Genomic DNA, 25538 nt, shown 5'->3' on the forward strand with positions numbered 1-25538 from the left:
CAGGTAATAGACTTGCTTTCTTTCTTCAGCAGATAGTAGTTAAAACCAAGTGGCAACCTGATAGGCAGCCAGCTGTTATCTATGACTCAAACTATTAAGGATGGAGACATCTGTACCTGGGCCATGTTCTTCCCAGAGGAGAGCCCTTACTAAGTCAGAGGGTATTATTGTGACATCTGACCTTGAGGACAGTTCAACATGTCAATCAGGCTAGATAAGCAAATTCTTTATCTAGTAAAAATGGCTAGGCATGGATAATATGTGGTTTCTTATTCTCCTTCCTCCTCCCCCTCCTTTTTTTTTTTCCCCCCCCCCTTGAGACAGGATCTCTCATTCTATTGCCCAGACTGGAGAGAGAGCAGTGGCACAATCACTGCTTGCTGCAGCCTCAACCTCCCGGGCTCAAGTGACCCTCCTGCCTCAGCCTCCCAAGTAGCTGGGACCACAGGCATGCGCCATCACTTCCTGCTAATTTCTAAATTTTTTTGTAGAAATGGGGTCTCCCTATGTTGCCCAGGCTAGTCTGGAAATCCTAGCTTCAAGCAATACTCTTGCCTCAGCCTCCCAAAGTGCTGGGATTACACACATGAGCTACTGTGCCACTGCCATCTTCTTCTTCTTCTTCTTCTTGTTCTTCTTGTTCTTCTTCTTCTTCTTCTTCTTCTTCTCCTCCTTCTTCTTCTCCTCCTTTTCCTTCTCCTTCCTCTTCTCCTCCTTCTTCTCTTCTCCTTCCTCTTCTTTCCTCCTCCTCCTCCTCCTCCTCCTCCTCCTCCTCCTCCTCCTCCTCCTCCTCCTCCTCCTCCTCCTCTTCTTCTTCTTCTTCTTCTTCTTCTTCTTCTTCCTCTTCTTCTTCTTCTTCTTCTTCTTCTTCTTCTTCTTCTTCTTCTTCTTCTTCTTCTTCTTCTTCTTCTTCTTCTTCTTCTTTTAATTAGAGAGGAGGCCTCACTATGTTGCCCGAGCTGATCTTGAACTCCTGGGCTCAAGCAATCCTCCTGCCTCAGTCTCCAAAGTAGCTGAGATTACTGGTGTGTACCACTGCACCTAGCAACACATAGTTTTTTGAAGATGTACAAAAATTTGATTCTTGGAATGGATTTATAAGAAAGCTTTGCATTTCCTCTGGGTTGAGGGAAACAACTTTATTAATTGCAGTGTCTTTGGAACAGGTACATATTTTAATATTATTAGAGAAAGAATTTCTGGCCTGCAAATAATTGGATATGAACTAGAGAATAAATATCTTCCTACATTGCAGGAGAAAGTAAAACATAACATCCTGTTTCTATCCACAGATACTTAAGAGGGAAAGGGAGAAGGAAAGGAAAGAATGGAATTGGGAATTACATGGCATAACTTGGGATACCTGTTTTACAGCTAAATCATTTGTGATCTGATTTCCATGTTGGTGGGACTTGGCCTGTTTCTGGCAGGTTCCTCCTGCCTTCCCTCATTTTCCCCAGCTTTCTTCATTCATCACAGGTTCTTTTTTCTACCATCTTCTGTGGGTAAAATCTAGGGGGCTTGTGACCCTCTGAGATGGTTCTTGCTGCACGTGTCTGTGCACAGCACTGAGAAGCAAAGTACACACACAGTCAGTTCTTGCACCAGTCAGGAGCAGCTTGCCTCCACCTACAAAACACAGGGTGATCATGCGTCTAAGGAACTGATTATCTTTTCCATTTCTTATCTTCTGCACAAGCCAATGGTAAGTTCTGTTTACTTACTTATCTTGGCTTATGCACAAGTAAACTGTAGGTATTGTTTTTCATTTACGAGGTTTTTGCTATCCTTGGGTTGGTTTATAATGTTGTTAGTCAGACCAGGTTGTGTCTTAATGTCCAGACAGTGAGTTAGGGTATTACAGACCCACCAACTGGATTTTCCTCTGAAGCAAAATCTACTAAAGGTGTGTCAGCCATTTTGTTAGGCTTGAGCAGGGGCGGGCAAACTATGGCCTGTGAGCCAAATCTGGCCCACGGCCTGTTTTTGTACAACCAGTGAGCTAATGATGGTTTTTATGTGTTTAAATAATTTGGAAAAAACCAACAGAAAAATAATATTCTGTGACATGAGAAAATTATTTCAAGTTTCAGTGTTTATAAATATAATTTTATTGAACACAGTTATAATCATTCCTTTAACAACTGTTATTTATTTGTTTGTTTATATACTTATTTATTTTGAGACAGGGTCTGTCTTTGTTGCTTAGGATGGCAGTGCATGGTGCAATCACAGCTCACTGCAACCTCTCCTCCCGGGTTCAAGCGATCCTCCCACCTCAGCCTCCCAAGTATTTGGGACTACAGGTGTGCACCACCATGCACGGCTAGTTTCTTTGTATTTTTTGTAGAGACAGGGTTTTGCCATGTTGCCCAGGCTGGTCTCAATTTTCTGAGCTCAAGCAATCTGCCTGCCTCAGCCTCTGAAAGTGCTGGGATTACAGGCATGAGGCACCACACCCAGCCCCTTTACCTACTGTTAATGGCTGCTCTAACACTACAATAAAATTGGGCAGTTGCAACGGATACTGTATTGACTCACAAGTCAATAAAGTGTTTGCTATACTGGCCCTTTACAGAAAAGGTTTGCTGACCTCTTTGCTTGTATAATTAAACAGCAACAATAGTTCACATATTTTGAGTCTTCCTATGTGCCAGGCAACGTGCTAAGCATCTTTTGGGCATTGTTTAATCCTCATAACAACCCTATAAAAAGTATCTCTTTTAAAAAGTAAAAAGTATCTCTTTTACTTTTTACAGATGAAGAAAAGGAGGGTAAGAGAGGTGGTGTAATTTGGCCAAAATCACACTGTTGGGCAGTATCAGAGCTGGGATTTGTACCCACATTTGTCTGATTCCAGAGCCTGGATTCTTATCCACCACAGAACACCAACATGCCTGTATTTCCTAGGTGGGTCTGAAGTAGAGGCCACAGATAAAAATTGTTAATTGTCTGAAGCTTAATTAACTTCTATTTCAAGTAATTTAATTTAGTTTATTATTTGAGATTTAGTATCTGTCTCTGTTATGAGAATGTGTACATTCCTTAAGGATAGTGACTATCTGTGGCTCCTAACACAGTGCCTAGCACATAGTAGAAGCTAAGTTAAAAATCTGTTGAATGAAGTGGATAGGGAGTAGGAAAGAGGGTGGGAGAAAGGGGGAGGAAGAATAGAGGATGAGAGACATTATCAAGGAAGAGTCAGGGTGCCTAGCATTGGCCCTAAGGTCATGGATGGCTCTGCTTGGCACTGGGCTCACCCTGACCAAGGGCTCACAACACCCTCGGGTCAGGCCTCACCTGACCGTGCACACATTCCATCTGCTGCTGCTTGACTTCTATTCTTCCGCCCTTGCTCTTCCCCTCTGCCTCTGGTGGCCTTGTGGCTTCCTGGCACTGGTCCAGATGCAATGCCAACCTTGAGAGGCGCATCAATGTTTGTTTAGAGTGCATTCATTTGGAGGAGGATGTGGAAGTGAGGCCTCCCGTTCTCATGTCCAGAGACGATGACTTACATCAAAGGGCAAAACTGACGCTGGAAGGGGACCAAAAGGAATCATTTCTCTTCTGATCTTTTTAAGAAGGCTGCTGGCTCTAAGGGAGAGATGCTGGCCACTGAGGACTCATTTCCACAGGCCGCTGACCAGCACAAAAGTCCAGGTTTCTTTCTCATGAGAACCAGTGGCAGGTAGGCATGAACAGACTCTCTTCCTTCCTGGGACTGGCCTGGGACTAGAGTTAGTGTGAGACCTCAGCAAGAGTAACAAAGTAGCACTGCAGCCTCTCAGCTGTGTCAAAAACAGCAGGGAGACACCAGTGCTAAGTGGGTGAGGATGCAGAGGGAGGCTGTGTCCAGCCTGGTGTGATAAAAGTGTTTAGGCACCAGGCGCGGTCACTCACGCCTGTAGTCCCAGCACTTCGGGAGGCCGAGGCAGGCAGATCATTTAAGGTCAGGAGTTTGAGATCAGCCTGGCCAACATGCCAAAACCCCGTCTCTACTAAAAATACAAAAAAATTAGCTGGACATGGTGGCACATGCCTGTAATCCCAGCTACTCAGGAGGCTGAGGCAGGAGAATTGCTTGCACCCAGGAGGCTGAGGTTGCTGTGAGCTGAGATAGCGCCACCACACTCCAGCCTGGGAAACAGAGTGAGACTCTGTCTCAAAAAAAAAAAAAAAAAAAAAAAACTGTATAGGCATATCTCTTCTGATTTTGCATGATTCTGCTCGCTATCATTTATTGATGTATTTTATTTGGCTTATGAAAAGGTGATGAAGTGTAGTGTTTTATTAAACTATTCATATGCCCAAAAAAACCCCACAAATGCTTACTGAATCCTTAAATGAGCCCAGCTCCAGGAGTAAAAAAAGTGAATTATCAGTCATTTCTAAAGGAACTCATAAATCTAGTAGTGGCCATAATAATGATAGTAATAATTTATGTTCTGACTGCTTATGATGCATCAGGCATTGGATCATGTGTTTTTTTTTTTTTTTTTTGAGATGGAGTCTCGCTCTGTCCCCCAGGCTGGAGTGCGGTGACACAGTCTCTGCTCACTGGCGCGTCCGCCTCTGGGATTCAAGCGATTCTTGTGCTTCAGCCTCCTGAATAGCTGGGATTACAGGCGCCTGCCACCATGCCCGGCTAATTTTTATACTTTTAATAGAGACAGGGTTTCACCATGTTGGCCAGGCTAGTCTTGAACTCCTGAGCTCAGGTGATCCACCTGTCTCAGCCTCCCAAAGTGCTGAGATTACAGGCGTGAGCCACCGCACCCGGCCTAGATCAGGTTCTTTACATAGACTAAACAAACCATTTCCTTCTCCTAACAACGCTATGTAGTCAGTACCCTTGTCATCCCCCGTACACTTGAGGTAATTGAGGAATACAGGTTAAATTACTTACCCAGGGTTATACAACTTGTAAGTGGCAGAGCCAGGATCCAAACCCATTCTTGGCTCTAGAGCCCATCCTCTTCTCCACTACCGCACCTGAGACTTACTGTGTGTTAGGCATGGGGCTGACAGTGACACACTGGATCATTTAATCATCACAATGGCATTAGGAGGTAGCATTTTACAAACGAGCTAACAGACAGGCAAGGAGCAACCTGCAGATAAAGCAAATCCAGATATGTCTCCAGAGCCCGTGCCTTAATCGCAGATGCATTCTGACTTTCATCATAGGATTCTAATCGTGGATGAAAGTGACCCTGAGTTGTAGTGCCAGGCAGGTTGCTTAGGAAAATACTCTTCTGGTAACATGTTGGAGGGGCAGCCTTCTGAGGATGGTGTCAGATTCCCCTGTCCTCTGATTAGCTCCCTCTGCCAAGGTGCCCAGGCTCCTACTTCAGTGTCACCTCCAGGTTTCAAAGCATGGAAACCCAAGCATGTTACTCGGAGAAAGTCCCACCCCCAGCATGGGCGCATCGGCTTAGAACCCTCCAGGGTTAGCAGGCAAAGAGCTGTGGACCCCGGACACGGGAAAAGGCCACAGTCGGGAGAACTCCTGTTGCTGGAGGGCCAGGCGGGGGCGATCCCCAGGGCTCCCAGCTTTTAATGCTGTCACCGCGGGCCTTACTCCCTCCTCTTCCCCACATCGCCACCACTTGAATCAGTTCTTTTACAAAGTGGTTCTATTTCCTGGTGAGACAAAAAGGTTAGAAAAGGAAACCTAGAGGGGGTGGGGGAAAGACAGAGGTTCGGAATACCGGCGCGCAATCGCCATCTGGGTGGAGGGGACCCGCCTTCTTTTCTTCCGCCTGAGCGCAGCTCGGCTCCCGCCTCGGGGCGGGGCCTGTTGCTATGGAGCCCGGGCCCCGGCAGAGCCTGCGGGGTGAAAGCCCCTAGGGCTCCGCCTGGCATGCGTGGCCGGGGCTGTCTGAGATTTCCCCAGGTCGGTGGTTATGACCGCAGGATGGAATCGTAGAGGTCGGGTGATTTGGTCAGTAGAGAGGAACATTTGCGAGGTTCTCTCTGAATTACATGTTGGTCTAAAAGTAATCCACTATCTGGGACCGAGAGGAAAGCATGTGTGGAAGAGGCAGGCATTATTAGCAGCGCGTCCGCCTCGGCCACCTCCCTGCTCCCGCCTCGGCCACCTCCCTGCTCCCGCCCCGGCCCTGGGGGCCTCTGTTCAGCCTCCACCAGCTCAGTCGCCCACGGAGACTCCCGAACTCTTAAATCCCAGCCCTGTAGTCAAAACCACTGCATTAATTAAACAAGGTAAACTGGTGAGGCAAGCAGGAACTTGACACCGCCTTGAATTTAATTGTTAAAATGAGAAGTGTGGTAATGGAGCTCTGCTTAAGAGAAAAACAATACTTGATACCGATGTGCACATCGATGTGGACACGGATGCAATCAGGAACCCATAGTTAGCACCGGGAGATTACATTCCGGGTATACTCAAGATAGATAGAGTCAACTTTGAATTCTCGAGGCCAAGCAATGGGCGAAACAAAAGAGCTTTGTGTTTGCGTGCTTTTGCTTTTTGTTACAGTCAGAGCAGGACAAAGAATAATGAAGGAGTAGACATGTTATTACTTGGGCATTTAATAATCAGTGCATGGCAGAGCCTTGTGTTTTGCTTGTCTTTTTTTTTTTCTTTTCTTTTCTTTTTTAAAGACAGGGCCTCACTCTGTCACCCAGACTGGAGTACAGAGGCCCCATCTCAGCTTACTACAACCTCAGCTTCTTGGGTTCAAGTGATTCTCCTGCCTCAGCCTCCCAAGTAGCTGGGACTACAGGCACGCGCCACCATGCCTGGCTAATTTATGTATTTTTAGTAGTGACGGGGTTTTGCCATGTTGACCAGGCTGGTCTCGAGCGCCTGATCTCAAGGGATCTGCCCACCTTGGCCTCCAAAAGTGCTGGGATTACAGGCGTGAGCCACCACACCAGGCCTACTTCAGTCTTTTCTACAAAACTACAGAACTCCCTATCAAGAGTAATGCTAGAGAAGGAATATTAATGGGATGGTTTGTTAGTACCTAGAAAAAAAAGCATCCTGAGTTCCATAAGAATAAATGATACCAGACCAACCAAAATTCCTCCTTGGATAGGGTTGCTGGGCATGAATTTATGTCCAATATGAGTCAATATGAGAAAAGTGCCAGGACCTCAGAGGTAATTAATAGAAGGATAGAGCCTGGAGCAAGCAAAGTGATGGTCTTGCTCTGCTCTGTGCTGGGCAGATCCCACCTGGATATGTCTTCAGTTTGGGGCAGCTCCCTGTGGGAAACATACTGGGCAGGGAGTCAGGGGTGCTTGACCTGGGTCACCTTTACTGCAAATACAGCCCGGCTGCAAAGGGCTATCCTGATCCTTGAGACTCTGAGCTGAAGGCAGATAACTCAGTCCCCAGGAGTGATTTTGAGAGGTTCTGTTTGTGTCATTTATTTTTTTGTCACCAGTGCCTTGTATACCACCTGGCACACAATCACTTGTGCAATGTATAACATTAAAGGGTCATCTGAAGGCCAGGCCACTTCTGGTGTGAATTCTTGGGTTGGAACTGGGTCAGCTGGTTCCCAATTAATCTACTCCTATCCACATAACCCCAATAGGTTAAGGCCAACTTGCACCTTTTCTCTTTTAAGGATGCTTAAGAGAAAGTCCTTTCTGCTTCATTCACCATTACTTCCTGACAGTCCTGTTTGTCCTTAAAACCTCCCCCACAGCCACTAATGAATGATCCCAACCCCTAAACATAGGAGGCCTCACCAGGGCTACTGCCAGTAGAGAGGAAGGGGCTCGGCCTCTTGGGGTCCAAACCAAACCACTCAATCAAACTGACTACAGAGAGTCTGGACTGTCCAGAAGGAGCTTGGCTTTGAGGGCCACACCTGGAGTGCTGAACTGTGAAATCCATCATAACAATACTTCCTCTCCAGTTGCTCATGACTGAACTGAAGGCTGGAAATAATTACTTCTTACCATCTTCTTTCATAAAACCATTGGGCAATACTTTTCATAAAGTTTTTATGTTTGTTTTTCTTTATATCTTTAAAATTTTTTTCTACTTGACATGTTAATGAGGTACAGTGTGATGTTTCCATATGGATGCACATTGTGTAATAATTAAATCAGGGTACTTAGCATATGCATCACCTCATACCTTTATTATTTCTTTGTAGTGAGAACATTCAAAATTCTCTCTTCTAGCTATTTTGAAATATGCAGGCCAGGTGCAGTGGCTCATGCCTGTAATTTCAACACTTTGGGAAGCTGAGATGGGCATATCACTTGAGCCCAGGAGTTCTAGACCAGCCTGGGCAGCATGGCAAAACCCTGTCTCCATAAAAAAATACAAAAAATTAACTTAGCATGGTGGTACACGCCTGTAGTCCCAGCTACTGGGGAGACTAAGGTGGGAGGATTGCTTGAGCCCAGGAGGTCGAGCAGCAGTCACGCCACTGCACTCCCACTCCAGCTTGGGCAACAGGGTGACACCCTGTCTCAAAAAATACAAGTTAAAAAATGAAATCTACGATACATTATTGTTAACTGTAGTCACTCTACTGTACAATAGAACACCAGAACTTATTCCTTCTATCTAACTGTAGCTTTATATCTGTTGACTAATCTCTCCCTATCTGCCTCCTCCAACCCCAATAAAGCTTGTTGAAATCAGAGACACAGAAAATGAAATGATTGCATTAGGCAGCGTTTATAAGCTCCTGATTTGTTTGCCTCTTCTAGTTGGTTATATCTATCTCACACTGAAACACATCACCTCTCTACTTAGCTGGCTTTGTTCTACTCTGGAGTTGCCTGATTACTGTTCCTGTTCTTGCACATCCTGGGGCAGGTGACATACTGAAAGAGGAACGGTGCCAGCCACAAGACCTGGACTCTAGTTCACCTCTATTACATTATGGTTACTCCATCCTGGGCTGGTCACTTTACCTTTCTAAATCTCAATTTCCACTAAAATAACAATGCCTGCTCTACCCGTTTCTGGGTTAGCTTTGAGGATCAAAGAGAAAATCTATGAAGGTACTTTCTTTTTTCTGAGATGGAGTCTCACTCTGTCACCCAGGCTGGAGTGCAGTGGCATGATCTCGGCTCACTGCAACCTCTGCTGCCCAGGTTCAAGATTCTCCTGCCTCAGCCTCCTGAGTAGCTGGGATCACAGGCACCTGCCACTGCACCCAGCTAATTTTTGTAGTTTTATTAGTGACGGGGTTTCACTATCTTGGCCAGGCTTGTCTTGAACTCCTGACCTTGTGATCCACCCACTTCAGCCTCCCAAAGTGCTGGGATTACAGGCGTAAGCCACCACTCCTGGCCTATGAAGGTACCTTCTAAATCATAAACTACCAGATATGAAGAATTGCCTATCCATAACAGTCTCTGATCCAACTAATTCTGAGATGAACTTTCACCTTTATGTCATATTATGTCATTTGTTCATTCATAGAACTTTCATCATTCCCTATCTACTTATTGGGCACCTAGTATGTGACAGGCACTGCACTAAGGGTTAGTGAATTAAAGGTAAAAGATGGAACCTTCAACAGTTTCTAGCAAGAATGCTGTGGAGTACACAGGAGTGGTACTCAATCCAGACTGTGGGTGGGAGGATCTGGGCATCAGAGGAAGACTCAGAGAATCCTTCCTAAAGTGAGTGGTGGCTTTGCTGAGTTCTAAAGGAGCGCAAGAAGTTAACCAGGGGCAGGAGGCAGGAGAGGCTGAGAGTGTTCCTGGCAGAACAAGTGGTAAGTGAGCCTAGAGATTAGTGTTTCTCAAAGGAGATGCTACTGACATTAGTGTTGTGGGGACAGATGTACTTTTAACGTACTCTCCCAAGCATTGGAGCAGGTTTGGCATCCCTACACATAGGCACTAAATGTTAGTAGTTACCCACCCCCACACACACTGGGTATGACAGCCATAGTGCCCCTTCACATTTCCAAATGCACACCCTACTACCCCATGGGAGGGGTTGGTACCATTCCTTGGCTGAGAGCCACTGCTAAAAAAATACATGTGGAACTGTCAGAGGTGTTTGAACCTGAGCAACTCCATCTTGAATAGGAGTCAGGTAAAATGAGGCTGAAACCTACTGGGCTGCATTCCCAGATGGTTAAGCCATTCTAAGTCATAGGATGAGATAGGACGTCGGCACAACATACAGACCTTGCTGATAAAACAGGTTGTAGTAAAGGAGCCGGCCCAAACCCACCAAAACCAAGATGGCCTCCAGAGTGACCTCTGGTCCTCCTCACTGTTACACTCCCACCAGCGCTGCGACAGTTTACAAATGCCATGGCAATGTCAGGAAGTTACCCTATATGTTCGAGAAAGGGGAGGCATGAATAATCCACCCCTTGTTTAGCATATCATCAAGAAATAACCATGTAAATGGGGAACCAGCAGCCCTCAGGGCTGCTCTGTCTATGGAGTGGCCATTCTTTTATTCCTTTACTTTATTTATAAACTTGCTTTTACTTTGCACTGTGGACTCGCCCTGAATTCCTTCTTGCAGGAGATCCAAGAACCCTCTCTTGGGGTCTGGATCGGGACCGCTTTCCAGTAACAGAATGTCTTATGAACAGAGTGTGACTAGGGAGGACAGAAGGTGGAAAATAATCAGGAAGCAGATGCCGGATTGTAAATTACTTTGTATGCCATCCTAAGATGTTCATTTTCTGGGATAAATTTTCTTGAGCAGGGATAGGCAGACTGTATATAAAGTGCATTGGATTGAACTTGGCACATCATACAGGGTCAGTAAATACTGGATCGCTATCTCTCATGCTCCTGCCAATCCCAATTTAGTAGCGTACATCCTCTTCTTATGCATAGGCACTGTCTGTATACTTCTCCAGTGCACAAATCATAGTCAGACTGGCTGATGGCAGTTTAGCTCTAATCTCCATTCAGCTGGATGGAAACAGTGGGGAGAGGCAAGACAGCTCCAAGAAGTCAATAAGGTGTGCAGTGGCTGTAATCCCAAGAATCCTGGGCTCTTCTCTGCCCTTGAGACCCCCGAGTCCGGCCACTTGAGGCCACAATATGGGAAACTCCAACTCAGAAGCATAACCAGCAGCCACTATTACCATCTACCTACCTGTTTTCAGGAAGTGCCAAGGAGATGATGCTTGGCATTTCCGTGGGGGCCTCCCACGGTTACCCAAGCCCCAACTTATAAACAGTTGGACTCATTTGCCAAGACATATGCTAAAAATGAGGCTGCATTTTCCTATAATAAGCAATATTATGTGTGTTTGTTAGATTCACAGCTGAGCCCCCAAAACCCATTTAACCCATATAGTAGTTAAGCCATTGTGGTGAGGGTGTTTGAAACCCAGCTATCCTATGTAATGCTATTTCCAGGGGAAAAATATTCCCAATTCCAGGTAAAAGATCAGAAACAGATATCACCTGCATTTGTTCCACCTTTACCCCAGGCTTCAGCTATACTTAGGTATTACTCGCTGGTCCCATGAACCATCTCATGCCTTTGACTGTGCTGCACTCAGTGCTTGAAATGCTCCGCACACCCCGCACACCTCCCTGGCCCTGTGTATCCCTTCTATGGGCGCCCAGAGCATTTGCTTCCTCTTGCTCTCAAGCATTTACCACTCTGCATTGCAATTGCTTGCTTACTAATCCATCTCCCACACTAGATTGTGACCTCCCTGAGGGCTCAGAAATATTAAATTCTTCTCTGTATCCTCATTGCCTACTCAGTGCTTGGAACACATGACACTCAACAAGTCTTCATTGGAATGAATGATTGAATGAGTAAGTTAACATCCTCTGGCTGGAAGCCCAGCAACAAGACCAAAGATCTCTCCCACTTCTCCACCTTCAGAAAACAGAGACCTGGTCTAGTTATAGGTCTCAAGAATCTGGGTTGACTGGAAGAAGAGAATGAGAGAGATCAGGACAAAGAATGTGCTGGGGGGCGGGGTCAGCATTTGATGAATTTGGCTTTGGGATAGGCTTAGTAGCAGAATGAGAAGAAGAAAGGACTCCTGTTGTAGTAAGTCAGACACCTGTCTGATGGCCTGTCTTAGGCTTGTAAAACTCAGTGGGGGTAGCCTGCTTCCAGTTTTAGAAGTGGGTCCTAATTAAACTGTAAACTTCTAAAGCAGAACATACGTCCGCACAAAACCTTGTGCACAAATGTTTATAGCAGCACTGTTCATAATGGCCAAAAAGTGGAAACAACCCAGTGTCCATCGACTGATGAACAGATGAACAAAATGTGCTAAATTCACGCAATGGAATATCGTTCAGCCATACAAAGGAACGAAATACTGACACATGCTACCACATGGATGAACTTGGAAAACATTCTGCCAAGTGAAAAGAGCAAGACACACAAGACCACATATTATATGATTCCATTCCAGAATAGGGAAACCTTTAGCGACAGAAAGTAGATTAGTGATTGCTTAGGACTGTGGGGATGTGATGTGGGAGGGAAGAGAGAGATAGCTAAAGGGTATGGGTTGGGTGTTTGTTTGTTTGTTTGTCTGAGATGATGAAAATGTTCCAAAATTGGCTGTGGTAATAGTTGCCCACATCTATGAATATACTAAAAGCCATTAAATTGTACACTTTAAATGGGTGAATTATATGGTATGTGAATTACAATTCAATGAAGCTTTAAAAAAATCCACAAAACTTCTAAAATAGGGTGTTAACTGGGATTTTGAGAACTGTGTATCACCTAAAATGGCACGCCAAAGTTGGCATGTATGTGCATTTCTGGGGTCTGTCAATTTTGCTGTATTCTCTGTGATCCCCCTCCTCCTACTACCACCAAAGGTAATCACCACTGCTCTGCAGAGCTGAGGCCCCTTCAAGGGCTCACTGTAATGCTTGACTGCGTGGAAAGAATGTGATAAATATTAATGTAATCAAATATGCAGATGCCCAGTTTTTTAAAATAAACATTATTAGCAATCCCTTTGAAACTAATAACTAACCAAGGAATAGGATGCAATACTGTTCCCTGCGTTTATTGTTGTAGAAAAAGGAACGGTTGTGAATTCTACTCTGATATGTAAGATTTTTTATTCTAAATTATTATTTGTAATATGGAGACCTAATCACTATCATATGGCTACTTGCTGATCATTTTTACATTATTTATACCTTTTACAACTAAGTTTAATGACTTGGCAGGAAATTAAGTTATGTTATTTGTCAAGTTTCTCAACTTTTAACTGAAAACTTCATGATCAGAAGAAGAACAAGGTCTGGTTATCCCCGAATCAAAATATGTACCATATGATTTTTCTCTGAATCATTAGAACCACAAAAAGCAAAGAAATGTCATTGCATGATTTGACTTTGTGGAACCGTACTTTATAGACCCTGCCCTGGGGTAAATACCAAGAGAGGAAAAGTAGTAGGGGCTTGTGGAACTGGACTGTTTGTTTGTTTGTTTGTTTTTTGCATTTAAAAAAATTATGATATGTGTTTAAAGCTACTTGAGACATCTAAGGAAATCAGTCGTCTCTCTTTCTAACGAGCAAGTGTGTGCTCTCACACTCACGCAAAGCTCTTCTCTAAATGTGAACTTTTCATATTGAGGTACCATATGCCCAGTTTCTTCCTAGAATCTATTCTCACTGCGTTCACCGTTTGCGTCCCAGCACTCCCTTCGTCTGATTTGTAGCACTCCCTGTACCTGCCCCGGCTGCGTTGCACGGAGACTGCACTGGTCGCCTCTCCCCTGGTGAATCCTGCAGTCACTTTCTGGTGATGGAGCTCAGCGGCCCAGCACGAGAGCATGGAAACAGCTGACTGCTGACTCAGAGGGAAAGCAAGCCACCCACGAATCTCATTGCAGCTCGCTGCTGCATCCCTATCCCATAATCCCTTGCCTGGTTTGCTGCAGTCTTTTCAACAGACGCTCAGTGAGAAAAAGATGTCCTGTAAGATCAAGACCGATTGGTGTGAATACTGAAGGGGGTCTTCCACTTGTTAATGACCCAGAAACATTCCTGCCGACTTCCAGCCTTCTCTCATTTCCTCCATTTTTCTCTTCCTCTGTTCTGTGCATGAACTGGCACATCACTACTTAGAGCAGAAGATATGCTGGGCTTCTGATGATGGCTGCACTGCATGGTAGGGAATTTTAACCAGTCTCTTTGCATGGTGCTTCCCAACTTGAAGTGTTAGCAGAAACGTGCGTTGTTCTTTTGGATTGCCGCGTAGCTGCAGCGACAGACTTGGGAGGATTTAATTCTTTGCCTCGTTGGTTAGTCTGTTTGTCTTCAGAAATGGGTAGGTCCTAAATGTTCAGACTGCTTAGTATTGTGCCAGGTGGATAACTGATTTCTCCTGCTCTCTCGGTTCTTTTTTCTCCCTTCATCTCTCATGGTGATGCTGCATCCTCTGTAGCTGTAAAATGCAGACCCATTCTTTGCTTAAACAAAGGCACCAAATTAACAAGTATGGGGAGAAAATCATGCAAGATTTTCTTATCAAGTTCTAATGTGATCTGACTAGATTTGTATTTTTACCAGTCTTTATTTTAGTGTGTATCTTGGCTTGTTTTAAATAGAAGAATTTTGCCCCCTGCATCTCTCTGTTGGGTGCAAACATGGAGATGAAATATTTGATTTGCAGGATTCCTTCCTCGCTGCCCCAGGGTAGAGGAGAACGTGCGACCCTCCCCCCACTCTGTCCTCTATTAGAGAATCCTGGGGTTGAGTTCCATGGCTGGCAGTTACCATTGGAAACCCATTCATTCATAATGCATGACTCGACCCTCCGAATTCTGAATGCCATTGAGGGCCAGCAAACAAACATGTAGGAGATAATTTGCTTTTTTTCTGACAATTTTTTTTCCTGTCTTTGAAGTACAGTCAAATCTGGGTGGAGCTCAATGATAGCATTACACAGGGAAAAGAAAAAAAGAAAAAAAAAAACCCTTGGGTTTTGGGTTGGTCCTTAGGTTTGCTTCCTGAAACAGTGGGGATTATTTTTGTGTCAGAGCTTTTTCTACAAGTATGCCCCACCCTGACATTATTCCTTCTTTTGGGGGGATAGGAGAGCAAGTAGCAAGGCAGTTTGTTTTAAATTAAAAATTGAATGTTAATAAATGGATTTCTGAACCAAAAGATAAAATGGTATTATTGTCTTAAGGAAAAGACAGTTTCAATGTAATAGCTTTCAAAATGAGGTGTTTAAAAGATTGTTTCTCTGGCTTAGATCATGTTACAGCAGTTTTATTCCTTATGAAAATTTGTTTTAAAAGAAGGTTTTAAACTCCAGTTTATATGTAAGGAGAGCCATTTGTTCATGCAGAATTCTTCAAATGACGTCTTAGTGTTAGGATTCAGTTCTGCCTAGTGTGAATCTGTTTTCTGGTGTCTTTCATTATTTCAGGCAGAGGCTTGAGCCCCACTGTTCCTAACCCACTATAATGTTAAATAATGCACGCCCCTCCCAAGCAGCACACAATGAGAAGTTTCATGTGTGCTGTGGTATGAGAAAGCAGCTTTCGGATGCAGAGACAGGAGTAGTAACCCTTCCTAAACCTTTAAGTGTTTCTGTCCAATTTTCTCCTAGGAAGACACAAGTGATTTGCATTGGAAAGGTTAAAACACAGCTGAATGTAAAAATTTTCTCTGATAGAACGTGCTGTTTCAAGATATATGAATGCAGCATATATAACCCACACATTTTTTAAAAGAAGACTAAAATCTATACACGTTTTTTCCATAGGTAATACTATAGTCCTGCAATGACTTAATTTTTTTTTATTATAACAAAAGCTTCATGGATTTTGTTGCTTGTGAAATAAAGTTAAAACATTCATTCTTTGTCTTACTAAGAAATGAAAATGTTCTTTATCTGGGTATCCTTAGGCGTTAATTTCTCCATACTTAGGGCTTTCTTTTATCTCTTTTTATTAGGTAGGGGAAAATCCCAAATATGTAGCAATTTCTAAGACTCCCTTGTGCCTCTTTTAATTATTTCTCTTATAAAACTAAAACTACCCAAATATTTGAGGTATTATTGAAATGTGTAGAAGAGAAATACTTTTGAATTTTAAAAAATGTGCTGCCAAATTATTTACTGTCATAGTTTTTTCTTCAAAAAATATGACTTCAATTACTTTTTACTATGGCAAAATGATGATTTGCACATACCTGTGATAGCCTTTTTCTTTAATCTCTGGTGCCATCTCTGTCCCTTTATTACTTATATAAAGGCTGTAGTTCAGAGTAGAATTTGCTCCATTATAGGGTTGGCTATTAGGGTTTTCTGAATATTTTCATTGTGCAGATGGTCTGAATTTAACGGATTAGATTTCCTCATAGAAATTGGAGCTTTAGATTGGACCAGAAAGTGAGAAAATAATGAGCCAAGTATTCAAATAGCATCACTGCAGGAAACAGATTTCTGCTTTTAGTATGCAAATGTTTCTATTCCCTTCTACTTTACCTCTTCGGTCTTCACATTCTCGACAGCCTCTATTTTTCCATTAAGTGCTTTTTGTTATTGTCTTTAAACATTATTAATTTAAGTACTTATTCTAATCAACAACAGAATTAAATAATGTGCTTCGTATATACCAGGAGCAAACAGGAGGTTCCTATTATGTAGAGCTGTGTCTCTTAGTTCTGTTGTGAAATAATTTTCTCTTTTCCCTTCTTGCTAGTTTCTTCCAACCCCTAGAATTGGTACCAGCACCTAGTCCCCTTGCTGACCTCTACCTTTTTTTGTGGTCCCAGAATACTTAGCCTCTTTGTGTAGTCCCCAAGCAAAGCAAGGGAGGAGACCTGGCAAAGTGATGGGTGTGGAGAGAGGAGACCCCGAGCATCTTGACTGTCCCAGAGTGCTGTGAGATGAATGTCTATTAGCCTGACCACTTAACATTCCACCACACAGACGCAGCCTAATCTTAACAATCGGCTGCCAAAGGTGAGGCAATGGCCTTCTTTATATACTAAAGAAAGAGGTAGGGGAAATATGTCTTTATGATATATCATAAAGACAAGTCAGGGGCTCAGCTTAAAAATCAGCTTCCATTTGGTAAAAACCAGTTCATCTGAGGAAGCTGTCATATATCTGACTCTGAAAATAAGGAGAAAAAGAACCTTGGAGAGCTTGGACACACCCTGCCTGAAGACAAAAGTTAAAGGGGATGGCTTCTGAATGCCTTCCCCCCAAAACACACACACCCACCCACACACCCACCCCCCCCCCCACACACACACACACACACACACACATCATCATCATCATCATCATGATCATCATCATCATCATCAGGAAAGATAATGCATCTAGCCTTCTGATTTACAAAATGGCCCATCTGGGATAGAGGCTTGATTTAACTGGAAATGGGTCACCCTGTTTTAATTTCACTAAAGATTGTCCTCTTTTCTTCTAATTGAGACCTCAGTAACAATGCAATTCAATTGCAGGCAAATTATAATAGGCTGAAATTTTAAAAATTAAGAATACCCTTTTCATCATGTTTTAATTTATACCACATGTTCTGGCAGGTACAGGGTAGCATACTGTGATTTATAGATAATCCAAATGGTTCAGGATTTCCTTTCTATAAATGTACCAGAAGATTTGTAATTGCTTGGAAAGCAGATGTTTGCATGTCTGCATGAGAACAATAAAAAATGGGCTGGGCCAGGCACAATGACTCATGCCTGTAATCCCAGCATTTTAAGAGGCCAAGGCCGGTGGATTGCTTGAGCCCAGGAGTTCGAGACCAGCCTGGCCAGTATGGTGACACCCTCTCGCTACTAAAAATACAAAAATTTAGCTGGTTGTGGTGGGGTACACCTGTAATCCTAGCTATGCTGGAGGCTGAGGCAGGAGCATCACTTGAACCTGGGAGGTGGACGTTGCAGTAAGCCAAGATCACACCACTGTACTCCAGCCTGGGAGACAGAGGGAGACTCTGTCTTAGGGAGAGAAAAAAAAAGGCATCTTAATAAATAAGTCCAACTAAAGTGGCACCAAAGAGAAGCAATAACGCAGGAATGCCATAAAATTAGACTGTAGGAATGTAATTGAGTACCTTTAGGATGATGTATAATCAAATATGTGACCTCTTACCCACAAATCACATGTTAAAATTTTGTTTTTCAGTAGAATCTTGGCCTCTGTTACCCTACCACATTCCCTACAACAGGCAAACAAGATTTTGCCAGCTCCCTCCCCTTCTCCAGAAGAGCGATTTAACTTTGGCTTTTCTCTGCCATTCTTTCTTCCTGCTCTTACTCACTGTGGTGTCAGCAATAAAGAGTGTGGATAGTTTTCTGATCTAAATGGTATAATTTGGGATGGAAAATGTGGTCTAAATCTTAGAATTGTGGACATAGGCATTTTTCTCTCATTTCAGCTTCTCCTATCAAGTTCTTTTGCATTTGGGGGTTAATTGCCACCAAATTGTAGGAGATTTGAGAAAGTGAGCCAGGAAAAACACCAGAGATGATGTGAGGGAAGAAACGCTGGAGCTGGATATTTTTATGCCCAAGGATTTTGTTATGTGATCATTGAATTGCTTTTCCCACAACAAGCTCTGTTTAGTTGGCAAGCCCCCATTAATAAGGGATTTATGTGCCAACCTTCTTAGGCTTTTTATTTTCATGCATATGTGTCTGTAATTGCCCAATAGTTCTTCTTGCCCAGTGCACAGATACAGCCGATTTACCAAGACAACAGTATTGCAATAGAGAAAGAGTTTAATAAATGCAGAACCAGCTAAGTGGAAGACTGGACTTTATTACTCAAATCAGACTCCCCCAAAATTCCAAGGCTAGGGTTTTTCAAGGGTAGTTTGGTGGGCAGGGGGCTAGGGAATGGGGAGTGTTGATTGCTTGGGTCAGGGATGAAATCATAGGAGGTCGAAGCTGTCTTCTGGCTGTCTTCACTTCCTGGATGGAATTACAAAACTTGTGGAGCCAGTTTACTGGTTTGGGTGGTGCCAGCTGGTCCATCAGAATACAGGGTCTGAAAAATATCTTGAACACCAATCTTAGGTTTTACAATAGTGATGTTTTTTATTTTTTATTGTATTTATTTATTCAATAAAATCCAGACCCTGCACAATACAATAGTGATGTTATCTGTAGGAGCAATTGGGGAGGGTAGGAATCTTGCGACCTGTGGCTACATGGCTCCTTACTGAACCATAATTCTAACCTTGTGGCTGATTTGTTAGTTTTATAAAGGTAGTTTTGATCCTGAGCAAGGAGAGGCTTGTTTCAGGAAAGGGCTGTTATCATTCCTGTTTTAAAGTTAAACTATAAACTAAATTGCTCCCAAAGTTAGTTCGGCCTACATCTAGGAATAAACAAAGACAGCATGGAGGTTAGAAGCAAGATGGAGTCACCTATGTCAGATTCCTTTCACTGTCATAATTTTTCTATGCCAGATGTTTCTCACTGTCATAATTTTTGTGAAGGCGCTTTCATGTACTCAATAGTTCTGTTTCTTTTTCTGCATCTATGAACATGTTAAAATATGTCACTAATGTTTACCCTCTGGATGATGGTTTATGTTGCTAAGCATTAGACTATCACATGGGAGGCTGGGCATGGTGGTTCACGCCTGTAATCCCAGCAGTTTGGGAGGCTGAAGCGAGAGGATCACTTGAGCCCAAGAGTCCGAAACCAGCTGTGCAACATAGTGGCACCCCTTCTCTACAAAAATACAAAAATTAGCTGGGTGTGGTGGTGCCCACTTGTGGTCCCAGCTACTTGGGAGGCTAAGGTGGGACTCTCACTTAAGCCTCGGAGGTGGAGGTTGCAGTGAGCTGTGAGCATGTCACTGCACTGCAGCACGGGTGACAGAGGGAGACCCTGTCTCAAAAAGAAAAAAAAAAAGACTATCACATTGGGAAGCAGGTAATGTCCAAGGTCAAGTGCAAACATTCAGATGACCGGCAACAACCACACTCTTTATCATGGAATTCAGCAAGTGCTGCTCTTTGCTGCTGCTGTGAATAAGTCCGTTTCCATGTTATATTTCGCTAGTTTGATTCATTCAAAAGATAATGTCTACTATGTACCAGGACACTTCTAGGTGCTGGAACTACTGCAGTGAATAATCAGATGCAAATCTGTGCCCTTGTAGGCCTTACATTCTAGGGGGAGGGCGGAGACAATATCCAAAATATATAAATTACATAGTATGTCGGAAGGCTTAGTTCCAGCTGCTATAACAAAAATGCCATGGATTGGATGACTTAAACAAAAAGAATGTATTGTCTCACAGTTCTAGAGGTTAGGAAATCTGAGATCAGGGTGCCCCCATGGTGGGTTCTAGTGAGGCCCTCTTCTGGCTTTATAGGCAGATGGCCCACATGGCAGAGAGCAGACAGAGTGGGAAAGCAGTCTCCCTCTTATCTCCTCTTACAGGGGCACTAATCCCATCATAAGGGCTCTACCCTCATGACCTAATCACCTCCCAAAGGCCTCACCTCCTGATCCCATCACATTGGGGGTTAGGGCTTCAACATATGAATTTGGGAGGGACACAGACATGGAGTCTATAACAGGAGGTGACCCGTGCTACGGAGAAAAACCTAGCAAGGACTGGGGATAGCAGTGCTAGGTAACTGGTGGCAATATGCAATTTTGAACAGAATGGTCAGATTGAGCAGGTGACACTGAGCTGGACAAAGGGGAGTGAGCTTCTTTGTAAGAGGTCTTGCTGTTTGTTTTCCACAGACAGGGAACCTCAGCTAGTCTTCCATATGAAAACTCTTTTTGGCTAAGGTCAATATCAAACTAATGTTGACCATTTGTATTATTTTAAAGTGGTTCTTTCTGCGTTTGCTACCATTTCCTTTCTACTGGCTTTTTGTCAATGTGTCTGATGTTAGTTCCTACATCCAAAAGCATTCGAGCTTCTTTACAGGCGAAGTCCACCCCAGGCATGTTTTCACACGGATCCCTTCAGAAGTTAGTTTTGCAGCTCTCCAGCATATAGAAGAGCAGTTCTATATTCTGATTTCTTTCATTATAGTGCACTGACTTCCACTGGTTATGTGGGTAAGAAGGGTCTCTGACAATTTAGAAAACAAGATGGGGAAAGGAGACCAGCAAAGCATGTATATAAAACATTTGTTGCTTTTTTAATCAAGGAGACCAGAAACTGTGGTAGTGCCCCAACGCTTTGATTGAAGGCCGTTGTATATTGAGTGTATTCCTCATGACATATTCGGACTGATTCAGACTTTCCACAGTGCTTATTAGCTCATTCTGTGCCTCAGTTCTTCTGAGCACATTGTCCCATTAGGAGTAGTCAAATGTTCTTCCTAGTGTGGGTATCCAGGGAAGGATCATTATCCTGGCAAATCTGGGGATCTTTGGGGATTGGAAACCTTTTGTGTCGATTCTTGGAGTTCTAAAAATCCAGATGCCTTCAACAGGTCACTTGTGACAGATCTGTGATACTGTCATGATTTTAAATTAGTGTTAAGGAGTAAACTTAATTAATTTACCATGCAAATTAACAATACTACAATATAGAGACTTGCTCTCACCCACTACAATAATTATCATAAAGTTAGAATGAAATGTTTTCATTTTTGGCTTTAGAGCATAAAATATTGGCTCAAGAAATTTCATTTAGTCAACGTATATCATTTGATTAAAACAAATTTTTTTCTTGCCAAAAATCCAAAATTCTAAGGTTAAAAAAAAAAAGGAATAAAGTCCAATATGATGCTTTCTCTCTGCTTTTTTCAATACCCAGCATGGCTCTGATTATTTCAAAGGGTACTATGAAAAATTTCAAAAGCTATTCAAAATAAAATTATTTTTAACTGATTTCGACGGAAAAGTTTTTTTTTGTTTTGTTTTGTTTTTTGTGTTTTTTTTTGTTATTTTTTTTTTTAAGATGGAGTCTCACTCTGTTGCCCAGGCTAGAATGCAGTGGCATGTCTTGGCTCACTGCAAGCTCTCCCTCCTGGATTCACACCATTCTCCTGCCTCAGCCACCGGAGTAGCTGGGGCTACAGGCGCCTGCCGCCACGCCTGACTAATTTTTTGTATTTTTAGTGGAGACAGGGTTTCACTGTGTTAGCCAGGATGGTCTTGATCTCCTGACCTCATGATCCACCCACCTCGGCCTCCCAAAGTCCTGGGATTACATGCTTGAGCCACCGCGCATGGCCAGTTTAACATCTTTTTAAAGAAAATATGGAACACTTCACAATTTGCATGCCATTCTTGCTCAGGGGCAATATTTTCTGTATCATTCAAATTTTAGTGCTACAAAAGTGAGCACTCATCATTTTTACAAGTTACACACACACACTCTAGTGAAGTGTTAAACTTACGTCATCAATTTATCAGATAAGGCAGAAAACTTGAAATCTGACCTTTCTGATTCACTGATTTTACTGAATGACCTTGGGCCAGTCATTTAAACCCTCAGCGTTGGTTTTGATTAAGACAGACAAGTCCATTCCTCCCCTAGTCTGATGTCATAGGGATGTGGTTAAGAAAACAGACAGGCTCTCAACATTTTGAGCCCCTGAGAGATGAGCTACTTTAGAGAGACACTCTATGGAAAGTCTAGCAGATAATGGTGGCTGATCAGACGTCATACCTATACCGTTTAACTATGCAGTGAGTTCTGTCTGAATGTGACACTCTTGTATAGCAGGTGCTTCACAAGGTTCTATATGTTATTTTATTTTATTATTTTATTTTGAGCCAGAGTCTCACTCTGTGAGTGCCCCAGGCTGGAGTGCAGGGGCATGCTAACGGCTCATTGCAGCCTTGACCTCCCGAGCTCAAGCACTCCTCCCACCTCAGCCTCCTGAGCAGCTGGGACTATGTATGTGTGCCACCATGCCTGGCTAATTTTTGGGTTTTTTTTTTTTTTTTTGAGACGGAGTCTGACTCTGTCACCAGGCTGGAGTGCAGTGGCGTGATCTCGGCTCACTGCAACCTCTGTCTCCCAGGTTCAAGCGATTCTCCTGCCACAGCCTCCTGAGTAGCTGGGACTACAGGTGCGCACCACCACGCCCAGCTAATTTTTATATTTTTGGTAGAGATGGAGTTTTACCATGTCGGCCAGGATGGTCTGGATCTCTTGACCTCGTGATCTGCCCACCTCGACCTCCCAAAGTGCTGGGATTACAGGTGTGAGCCACTGTGCCCGACCTTTTTTTTTTTTTTTTGTATTTTTTTGTAGAAATGGGGATTCACCATGTTGCCCAGGCTGATCTTGAACTGCTGGGCTCAAGTGATCTGTTCACCCGAACTCCCAAAGTGCTGGGATTACAGGCATGAGAGATGACACCCAGCCTGTTTTAAAAATCATATCTTTAATAAACTTATCTAAAAGGTACAGAGTTGGAAAATGGGTGTGTCATGTTTGTAACTATACTCATACATAAACAGCAGAATTTTCTGGGTTTTTTTTTTTTTTTTTTTGACTAGTCAAGTGAAGCAGTGGGAGTGGAGAAGGAGAAACAAAATCTGTAACTGGTTGTGATCGGTTACCTGTAAACACCACTGCACTTGGACCAGCCAGCAGCCGAATTTTCCTAATAAAAGTTGACACGCTTTTTTAAAATTTGGTGACTTGGTAGGAAGGAAAACTATTATTTATATTTGGAAAAGAATGTTTTCTTTAGAAAGTACAGAAGTGTTGCTTCTGTAAATATGGAGTATTTCCAAGCTTTAAAAACAGGCACCAGGCCAAGTTAAAGTGTCATATGTAAACCAAGCTTCTGTAGTGCAGCCTTTTTAAAACACAAGGTCAAGGGCGGTGTTGTGGTTTAAGTAGTGAAAAGGCCATGGGTTTTAGAGACATATACTCCTTGGATTTGCATTCTGGTAAACTTCTTGACTGAGCCTCTGTTTTGTTTCTTCTAATCTATAGAATAAGAATAATAGTGTGACCCCTCATGCCTGTAATCCCAGCACTTTGGGAGGCTGAGGCGGGTGGATCACGAGGTCAGGAGATCGAGACCATCCTGGCTAACATGGTGAAACCCCATCTCTACTAAAAATACAAAAAATTAGCCGGGCGTGGTGGCGGGCCCCTGTAGTCCCAGCTACTGGGGAGGCTGAGGCAGAGAATGTTGTGAATCCGGGAGGCGGAGCTTGCAGTGAGGCGAGATCGCGCCACTGCACTCCAGCCTGGGTGACAAAGCGAGACTCCATCTCAAAAAATAATAGTAATAATAAAGAATAAAGAATAATAGTATGACCTCCTGCCTAGGGTCATATTAAATATTAAACCTCTTTTCTTTCCTTCCTTCCTTCCTTCTCTCTCTTTCTTTTCCTTCTTTATTTCTTTCTTTTCTTTCTTCCCTTTCTTTCTTTCGTAACCACCCAACAGGTTCACCTCGCCTGCTGCCTAGATAGAGCCAATTTATCAAGACAGGGGATTGCAATGGAGAAAGAGTAATTCACTCAGAGCCAGCTGTGCAGGAGACCAGAGTTTTATTATTACTCAAACCAGTCTCTCTGAGCATTCGGGATCGGAGTTTTTAAAGATAATTTAGCAGGTAGGGGCAGGGGAAGTAGGGAGTGCTGACTGGTCAGGTTGGAGATGGAATCATAGAGGAGTCAAAGCGAGGTTTTCTTGCTGCCTTCTGTTCCTGGGTGGGATCACGGAACTTGTTGAGCCAGATTACCGGTCTGGGTGGTGTCAGCTGATCCACTGAGTGCAGGCTCTGCAAAACATCTCAAGCACTGATCTTTGGTTTTACAATAGTTTTGTTATCGCGAAGAGCAATTTAGGGAGGTTCAGACTCTTGCAGCCAGAGGCTGCATGGCCCCTAAACCTTAATTTCTAATCTTGTAGCTAATTTGTTAGTCCTACAAAGGGAGACTGGTCCTTAGGCAAGAAGGGGTCTTTTTGGAAAAGGGCCATTATCAATTTTTTTCAGAGTCGAACTATAAGCTCAATTCCTTCCCAAGGTTAGTTTAACCTATGCCCGGGAATGAACAAGGACAGCTTAAAGGTTAGAAACAAGATGGAGTCGGTTAGGTCTGATCTCTTTCACTGCCATAATTTTCTCAGTTACAGTTTTTGCAAAAGCAGTTTCACTTTCTCTCTGTCTTTTATTTTCTTTTTGGTAAAGAGTATTTCCATAGGGAATTAGAGGGCTCTGGACACCTTACCAAATATTTAGAAAATGAAGAGGTAAATTTTAGCTCAGCCTTGGTTTATGCCTTCGGTGTAGAAGCCAGGAATTCTTTAAGGTGGTAAAAGGAGCTGTGTTTTGTGTTGTAACTTTTTCCTCTCTTGTGCTCTCAAACTCTTTGCTGTCTTCTCTTTCTGTGTTGCCCTCTTCTAATTCTCCTTTCCTGGCATGATCCCTAACATTTTGAAACCTTCTCTGAATTAATTCACTTCACCAGGTCTTTCAAATGCCCAGACATGAATACCAACAGATATTTCTTTTAAATTATAGGGAATACCTCTAGCCTTTGTCCCTACCCCATAGCAAATATATTTTAGTTTCAAATCTATAAACCTTTAGTCCTGAAGAAAACACTCTGAACCATATACAAAATCTTTAATTAAAATTCTAATTTTCACCCCCATGCATATTAATA

The 25538-nt window shown here is 43.2% G+C and overlaps 1 protein-coding gene, 1 long non-coding RNA gene and 1 pseudogene across 35 annotated transcripts in view, besides 3 other annotated features; 1 reads left to right on the top strand and 2 right to left on the bottom strand.

Moving 5' to 3' along the window:
- TRIM2 (tripartite motif containing 2) overlaps window positions 1-25538 on the top strand; it is a 187155-nt gene that overhangs the window by 91351 nt on the left and 70266 nt on the right. For 3 of the 34 annotated variants that reach the window (NM_001351054.2, NM_001351055.2, NM_001302694.2), the window contains exon 1: window positions 13866-14094. The exons of the other annotated variants lie outside the window; for them this stretch is intronic. In NM_001351054.2, coding sequence (NP_001337983.1) covers window positions 14092-14094 — 3 coding nt within the window. In that variant the 5' untranslated portion in view covers window positions 13866-14091. Of the gene's footprint in view, window positions 1-13865; window positions 14095-25538 lie in introns of those variants that run through there. 34 annotated transcript variants of the gene reach the window in all.
- Window positions 1121-5026, bottom strand: LOC105377496 (uncharacterized). Its single transcript, XR_939360.4, has 3 exons — window positions 4907-5026; window positions 3301-3535; window positions 1121-1629 (listed from the first exon to the last, which is right to left on the bottom strand). It is a non-coding gene; the product is annotated as an uncharacterized LOC105377496 (long non-coding RNA).
- Window positions 6169-6218: an enhancer, noted in NCBI's record as "active region_22050". NCBI's record gives its function as "activates an Ori minimal core promoter by ATAC-STARR-seq in GM12878 lymphoblastoid cells {active_cell/tissue: GM12878}" and the evidence as "EXISTENCE:reporter gene assay evidence [ECO:0000049][PMID:35858748]".
- Window positions 13716-14361: an enhancer, noted in NCBI's record as "H3K27ac hESC enhancer chr4:154178381-154179026 (GRCh37/hg19 assembly coordinates)". NCBI's record gives its function as "activates a minimal SCP1, AML or CMV promoter by ChIP-STARR-seq in naive H9 embryonic stem cells {active_cell/tissue: H9 hESC(naive)}" and the evidence as "EXISTENCE:reporter gene assay evidence [ECO:0000049][PMID:30033119]".
- Window positions 16102-16618: an enhancer, noted in NCBI's record as "OCT4-NANOG hESC enhancer chr4:154180767-154181283 (GRCh37/hg19 assembly coordinates)". NCBI's record gives its function as "activates a minimal SCP1, AML or CMV promoter by ChIP-STARR-seq in primed H9 embryonic stem cells {active_cell/tissue: H9 hESC(primed)}" and the evidence as "EXISTENCE:reporter gene assay evidence [ECO:0000049][PMID:30033119]".
- RNU6-1196P (RNA, U6 small nuclear 1196, pseudogene) lies at window positions 22149-22242 on the bottom strand (annotated as a pseudogene).

Source organism: Homo sapiens, chromosome 4 (genome assembly GCF_000001405.40).
Source record: "Homo sapiens chromosome 4, GRCh38.p14 Primary Assembly".
Lineage (NCBI taxonomy): Eukaryota > Metazoa > Chordata > Mammalia > Primates > Hominidae > Homo > Homo sapiens.